This window comes from Homo sapiens, chromosome 16 (genome assembly GCF_000001405.40).
Source record: "Homo sapiens chromosome 16, GRCh38.p14 Primary Assembly".
Taxonomy (NCBI): Eukaryota; Metazoa; Chordata; class Mammalia; order Primates; family Hominidae; genus Homo; species Homo sapiens.
The window spans coordinates 26,748,253-26,755,933 of NC_000016.10; the positions used below are offsets into that span (position 1 = coordinate 26,748,253).

Here is a 7,681-nt window from a genome sequence, read left to right on the forward strand (position 1 = left end):
ATCCCTCAACCCCTCCCACCCTCCCACCTTTTGTAGTCTCCAGTGTCTATAATTCCTTTCTGTGTGTCTGTGTGTACATATTATTTAGTTCCCGCTTACAAGAGAGAAAATGCAGCATTTGACTTTCTGTTTCTGAGCTATTTTCCTTAGATAATGGTCTATAGCTCCTTCCATTTTGCTGCAAAAGACACGATTTCATTCTTTTGATGGCTGAGTGGTAGTCCATGTTATATGTACCACAGTTTCTTTACCGCATCATCCATTGAGGGGCACTTAGGTTGATTCCATGACTTTTCAATTGTAAACAGTGCTGTGATAAACATACGAGTACAGGCGTGTCTTTGATATAATGATTTCTTTTCCTTTGGGTAGATATCCAGTAGTGGGATTGCTGAATAAAATGGTAGTTCTATTTTTAGTTCTTTGAGTTCTATGAGAAATCTCCATACTGTTTTCCATAGAGGTTGTACTAATTTACATTCCCACAGTATGTAAACATTTTCTTTTCTATGCAGCCTCACCAATATATGTTGTTTTTTTGACTTTTTAATAGTAGCCATTCATTGTGGTTTTAATTTGTATTTATCTGGCCTCATTTTTTAAAAATCTGTAAGTAAGGATAATAATAGTAAATACTTTATAGGATGATTACAAGTATTAAAGGGTTAATCTTATAAAGGTAATAAGCATAATGCCTGGCACACAATTAGCATTCAATAAGGATTACTTGCATGGTTACGAACATTTCCCAGAGTTCAGAGAGTCTGTCCAGCTTGTTCACTATTGTATTCTCAGTGCCTGGCACGATGCCTGTTCCACAGTAAGAGCTTGATTATTATTTATTGAGTGACTTAATGAGCACATGAAAATCAAAATGGAAAAGGTGAAGAAGGAAAGGAGGCATAACTTGTGGTTATACCCTGAGCATGTTCGTTTGGACACATCATTTCCTATAATTCTCACAACAGCCTCATGGAAATAGATCTCATTGTTTTTCATTTTACAAAAGAGAGGGGAAATGACCTGTCCAAATCGCAGAGCTAAATAACAGGGCCTATTTTTTAAACAACCACAGAAGGGCTCCCAAAGTTATTACTGGGAACTCCAGCCCTGGTAAAGTACTAATACTATCATTGAACCACTGGAAAATAGAACTGGGAGACAGGCCAATCCATCTGGAGGATGGAGACTGGTGACCCACCCATAGGGTGAAATTTGGTCAATGGATGAGATTATTTGGTTTGCTTAGTGTTTCCAAAAGTGTTAGGTCTACATATAAAATTTTAGAAATTTCTCATAAAATCTGGACTACAGGCTTTTTTGGAAAATCCAGAAGCTCTCCAAACTCAAGGCTTCTGTTCCTGCATGAAAGCAAAGAGCTGGAGCTGGCTGGCCCCCTTCTGCAGTGCCACAGCCCCCTTCTCCAGCCCCTCACACAGTGTTTGCTGGTGTACAAACAACCAGCCTGCTTCATTGCTCTGTTATCTCTTTGCCACCTTTTGGCATCTAACATCCCCGAGCCAGTTCAACATTTTCAATCTAAAGGTGGGACTACTGAAGCTCAGAGAAGAAAAGTGGCTTGCCTGAGGCCACAGGCTTAGTGATAGGATCTGGAATTTTAATTCTCCTTCTCCAATGATCTTTACATAAATGCTTCATGAATGTGTCCAGGAAAGCTTCTGGATTCAATATGCCATGCCTGGAAATGCCCACAAATTAAAATGACTGCTACAGAGTCCATTTCCAAGAGGAATAGTCAGTGTCTATTCTTAAGGGTGCAAGGCAAAAGAAAAAAGAATCTGCCGGGCGCGGTGGTTCACGCCTGTAATCCCAGCACTTTAGGAGGCAGAGGCAGGCGGATCACGAGGTCAGATCAAGACCATCCTGGCTAACACGGTGAAACCCCGTCTCTACTAAAAATACGAAAAAATTAGCCGGGCGTGGTGGCGGGCGCCTGTAGTCCCAGCTACTCCGGAGGCTGAGGCAGGAGAATGGCGTGAACCTGGGAGGCGGAGCTTGCAGTGAGCCGAGATCGCGCCACTGCACTCCAGCCTGGGCGACAGAGCAAGACTCCGTCCCAAAAAAAAAAAAAAAAAAGAAAAGAAAATAATCGTGACAACCACAGGAGGTAGGAGCTGAGACAGGAGACCTCCAAAATCAGTTTGTGCCCCATCCCCACTCCCAACTGGTTCATTGTCATTCAGAAAGCTAGTTAGATACCTGGCGTGGTGTTCCAAGATTAGAGACCCTCCTGCTGTTACAGAATCAGAAATTGTTAGCCAGTATTTACGTTTCCCTCTAGAAGCCTCAAGATGTTTCTGGGGCATGCCCAACCATGGGATTCTTCTGCCTCTGTGATGGCAGAGAATCAGGAGGCCAGAGACCACATTCAGTGGCTCAGTTCCTTTTGTGATATGTTGCACTTGTCATATCTTCAAAGCCCAGCATCTTAGTTTAGTGACACAGCATTCTAGAAGCACAAATGTAGAAATGTAGAAAATCTCAAATAATGAATGAGCTTTTTGGACAAGGTTAGTCAACCCTAGAAAGTAAGATAGAGAAAAGTAGTGCAAAGCAAACAAGCTCTTTGGGCTAAATAAGGAGCGAGCGAGGGTCTCTCCTGTGGTATCAGATGTTGTCCCACTCTAGGTACCGTCTGCCAGAGTTGCACCAGAAGTGTCAGCAGGTAAGAAATTTCATGTATTGGCAACCCCCGTAGGGTGTGTGTGTGTGTGTGTGTGTGTGTATGTGTGACAGTCCTGAAGCACAGTGTGATTTCTCATGCACAATCGATCCTTCTCCTGCTACATAAACACCCTTACATCTAATAGTGCTCCCATCTGTGAAAGGCCAGTATGCAAGAAAGTGATTTGTTTATCCTACTAAGAGTAAGCAGGAAACAATATATATTGTTGTCTTAGAGAAAAGGGAAAAACAAATCAGATTTGTGCATTGAAAGTCAGTGATTACACTGGCGATGACCATAGTACAATAAGTATAAACTTGATTATTTCTAGAGGCTCATTTTCTTGGTGTTGTTTGTACTTAAACTGATATTGTGAGTGGAGAGAGGGAGCCCTCCCTCCGTGATATTTATGCTTTCAAGCCTATTTGCTCAGGATGTATCCGTGCCTATGGATGAAGTCCAAGCTCTCCAGCAGAGTCTGGCCCCTGCTGTCTTCTCTAGCCTCATCCAAAGGCAGTGCTTCTTCCAGCACCGCCCTGTAGCATACACAATGGCCACGCCAACCTCCTCACAGATCCCCACATACTTCGTACTCACTCACATGTCCCAACATGAGCACATGCTGTTTCCTCTGCCTGGAACAATCCATTAACCACGCGTGTGGAAAATGATTTTTTTTTTTTTTTTGAGATGGAGTCTCACTCTGTCACCCAGGCTGGAGTGCAGTGGCGCGGTCTTGGCTCACCGCAACCTCCGCCTCCTCGATGCAAGTGATTCTCCTGCCTCAGCCTCTCAAGTAGCTGGGATTACAGGCAGCTGCCACCACATCCAGCTAATTTTTGTACTTTTGGTAGAGATGGGGTTTCACCATGTTGGCCAGGCTGGTCTTGAACTCCTGACCTCAAATGATCAGCCTGCCTCGGCCTCCCAAAGTTCTGGGATTGCAGGCGTGAGCCACTGTGTCCGTGTGGAAAATGGATTTATACTTGAGTAAAGGTCCAATAATAACCCATAACCTCATCCCCTGACTTCTCAGCAGAGTTCACGACCCTTCCTCTTTCTTTCTGGTGGCTTTTGGATGTCTGCCTCATAGTACTTATCCTGTCCTATTGGAATAATCTGTTTATGTGCCTGTCACCTGCAGTCAGCTGTAAACATCTCTCAGGTAAGAATAGCTTCTGCATTTCTGCATCGCCAGCACCTAATACGAAGTAAAAGAAGCACACACATCAATGTTTGAAAAATGTATGCTGAATTGTGTTAATAAATGAATTAGTAAAAATCTTAGAATCTCATATTGGCTTGCTATTTTATTGATGAAAGATTCTAATGATGGGCCACTTTGAAGTGCCTCTTCTAAAAATCACATGCCCCCACCTCTCTTTTAAAAGCTGGCCTGGACCTTCCAGAGAAGTTGGGTTGGTGCAAAAGTAATTGCGGTTTTTGTATTGTTTAAATTTGACATTCGATATTGGAATACATTCTTAATAAATGTGGTGATGTTATGCATCATTAAATGCACATGTCTCCCTCTATGTTTTTTGCTAATGACTTATTACTTGCTGTTTACTTTATGTTTATTTTAGACTATGGAAGTGATATTAGACAAAAAACAAATTTGACCAATTTTCTTATTCGAGTTCAAAACAGGTCATAAAGCAACAGAGACAATTTGCAACATCAACAATACATTAGGGCCAGGAGCTGCTACCAAACGCACAGTGCAGAGATGGTTCAAGAAGTTTTGCAAAGGACACAAAAGCCTTGAAGATGAGGAGCATAGTGGCCGGCCATCAGAAGTTGACAATGACCAATGGAGAGCAATCATCGAAACTGATCCTCTTACAACTACATAAGAAGTTGCTGAAGAACTCAACATCGACCATTCTAAGTCATTCAGCATTTGAAGCAACTTAGAAATGTGAAAAAGTTCAATAAGTGGGTGCCTCATGAGCTGAGCAAAAATAAAAACAAATCGTCATTTTGAAATGTCGTCTTCTCTTATTCTACGCAACAACGAACCATTTCTCAATCAGATTGTGACATGCAATGAAAAGTGGATGTCATATGACAACTGAAGACGACCAGCTCAATGGTTGAACTGAGAAGAAGCTCCAAAGCACTTTGCACCTTGCTGTTTGCTGGTCTGCTGCCGGTCTGATCCACTACCGCTTTCTGAATCCCGGGGAAACGATTACATCTGAGAAGTATGCTCAGCAAATCAATGAGATGCACTGAAAACTGCAAGGCCTGCAGCGGCATTGCTCAACAGATAGGGGCCAATTCTTCTCCTCAACAACACCTGACCACACGTTGCACAACCAATGCTTCAAATGTTGAACAAATTCGGCTATGAGTTTCCACTTGAGTGGAACAGTAGATGGGAGGAAAGGCATGAACCACACAGGATTATCTTTGTTGTTCACTTAGCTAATGCTTTTGAGTTCCTGCCATGTACCAGTCACCATGCTAAGACATAGAGATGCAGCAACAAATAAAACAGACCAAGTTCCCTTCCTCACGTATCTTAAGATCCAAGTGCAGGGATGGGATCAGCAAACTAGAACACGTGCCAAAGCTGCCCCACATCTGTTTTTGTAAATAAAATTTTATTGGGAAACAACCACACAAATTCATTTACACATCATCTATGACTGCTTTTTCTCTACAGCAGCAGAGTTGAGTCATTGTGATGACATTGTGTGGTCCACAAAGCCGAAAATATTTGCCAGTCTGGCTCTTTATGGAAAAAGTACCTTGGTTTCATGTCTTGTGGAAAATGCACACAATAAATAATTAAATATGGCCAGGCACAGTGGCTTATGCCTGTAATTTCAGCACTTTGGGAGGCCGAGGCAGGTGGATCACCTGAGGTCAGGAGTTCGAGACCAGCCTGGCCAACATGGTGAAACCCCATCTCTACTAAAACTACAAAAATTAGCCAGGCATGGTTGTGGGTGCCTGTAATCACAGCTACTCAGGATGCTGAGGCAGGAGAATCACTTGAACCCAGGAGATGGAAGTTGCAGTGACCCGAGATCATGCCATTGCACTCCAGCCTGGGAAACAAGAGCGAAACTCCATCTCAAAAAAATAAAATGAAATAAAATTAATAATTAAATACGTTAATGACCCAGCTTATTCCTGTATTCCTGTGTGATATTTCTGTAAGACCACGTAATATAGAGTAATGAAGGGTAGGGCTGGTGACCTTAAGATGATCAGGTGAGTCTCTCTTAGAAAGTGATATTTTGACTGCAACAGGTAGTATAGGACAAATGCCCTAATGTAGGAAAGAGTCAGGACCCAAATGAAGCTAGAGTAGCCAGCTAGATTCATGGGGAGAGGGCACCATCTGCCATACAGGCAGGATTCCATCTATGCAGGGCTTTGCAGGGCATGGGAAAAGGGTTGGGTTTTAATTTTATTGCAACAAGAAATCCTTGAAGTCAAGAACTGAACTGACCACTGTAGCTCCAGTGCACAGAATGGATTATCTGGTGCAAAAATGCAAGTAATGCAATCAAGTGACTGCACTCAGTCCAGGTGTGGCGAAGATGGGCTATGCATGTGCCGAAACTTTTACCACTTTTGCAGGGGTAGGAAAAGTGGGAAGGTAGAGGATATAGTAAGGTAGTATTTCTAGATTCTCTCACAGTTAGGTGTGGCCACTTGGCTAAGTTTTAACCCATGAAAAATGAACATAAATCGTATACCCCTGCCAGGCCTGATCCATAAAACCTCACTGCATTTTCCTCCTCCAGGCAGATGAGCAATCTTTAAAGCCGTATTCCAAAGATGGTGAGGTCACAGCTACAGAAGACCAGAACTCTGGATTGCCATTTGAAAGAGAGTTTCCCACTCATTGGGAGCACGCGTTTTGAACTTTACATAAGAGTGATATAAACATTTATGATATTTGAGTCGTTATACGTTTTTGGGTTTGTTTGTTACAGCATTATTTTGACTGTGGTCACTGATAGCTCAGACTAGGGTTGTGGTTGTAGAAACTTGATTACCCAGCAGCTATGGGTGTGCCAAGATGGCTTAGGGTCCTGGGTAAAGGTCAACATCTCTCTTACTTTTTGCAACCTTTTGCAGGAGCTAAACACCATTCAGCACTTAGCTGGCCCTTTCTGGGCTCTGCTAGTCCTCTTGGATATCTGCCTACCCCAGTGCTTCTGGCTTTTATGCCCCCCAGAACTTTCCTGCTCCCCAGGGACTGTCTGTTTGATTCCAGTTGCCTGGGCAGCTTTACCTCGTGCATAATGATGTTCCATAGCCCATGTTTTATTTCTTGGGTTTTCAATCCTTTCATAAAAAATGCATGCTGGATGAAAGGTTTTACATACCAAACAGGCCAGAGATTTAGGGCGGCTAGCTTAGTGATTCAAAATCGTTCCTTTTCTTTTTTTTAATTTTTATTACAATTGCTCTGAAAGAAATCTCTATCGCTTGATATTAACAAATGTAGCCACCGAAGCAGATGCACATACCCACAAACACCAGGAGAATTAATTACCTACAGTTAGATCCGTTTCATCCTTTTTTTCCCAAAGCAATGCTGCAAAGACAAGAGCTTTATTGCAGTCAGCCACTAGCCTCGAGCCTTCTATTTCTGCACCCGAGCCCACCAGGCAATGGAGATGACAAGAAAACTTCATGGGGGAGACCCCTGGGTATACTCTTCTGGCTAGATATGTCCTGGAGTGACAGTTATCTTCTAATTTAACTAAAATCTGAAATCTGAGAGGTGTAAATTCTAACAGTAAAACTAATAGCACCTCACATATAGGTAAAGCTCTTTGCTTACAAAAGTGCTCACACATCTGTTAGCTCCAATGGCTTCTGCAAGGGAGGGAATAAGGCATCTGAAATTGCTGCCATACCTTGGTTGCAATAATATTAGCTATCATTTTGTGCACTTCTTATGTGCTAAGCACTGTTTTTAACACCATACATACATTAACTCATTTAATGCTCATAACATCCCAA

General features: G+C 42.5%; 2 annotated features.

Annotated features, from left to right (window-relative positions):
* Positions 1,438–1,939: an enhancer, noted in NCBI's record as "OCT4-NANOG-H3K4me1 hESC enhancer chr16:26761011-26761512 (GRCh37/hg19 assembly coordinates)". NCBI's record gives its function as "activates a minimal SCP1, AML or CMV promoter by ChIP-STARR-seq in primed H9 embryonic stem cells {active_cell/tissue: H9 hESC(primed)}" and the evidence as "EXISTENCE:reporter gene assay evidence [ECO:0000049][PMID:30033119]".
* Positions 1,940–2,439: an enhancer, noted in NCBI's record as "OCT4-NANOG-H3K4me1 hESC enhancer chr16:26761513-26762012 (GRCh37/hg19 assembly coordinates)". NCBI's record gives its function as "activates a minimal SCP1, AML or CMV promoter by ChIP-STARR-seq in primed H9 embryonic stem cells {active_cell/tissue: H9 hESC(primed)}" and the evidence as "EXISTENCE:reporter gene assay evidence [ECO:0000049][PMID:30033119]".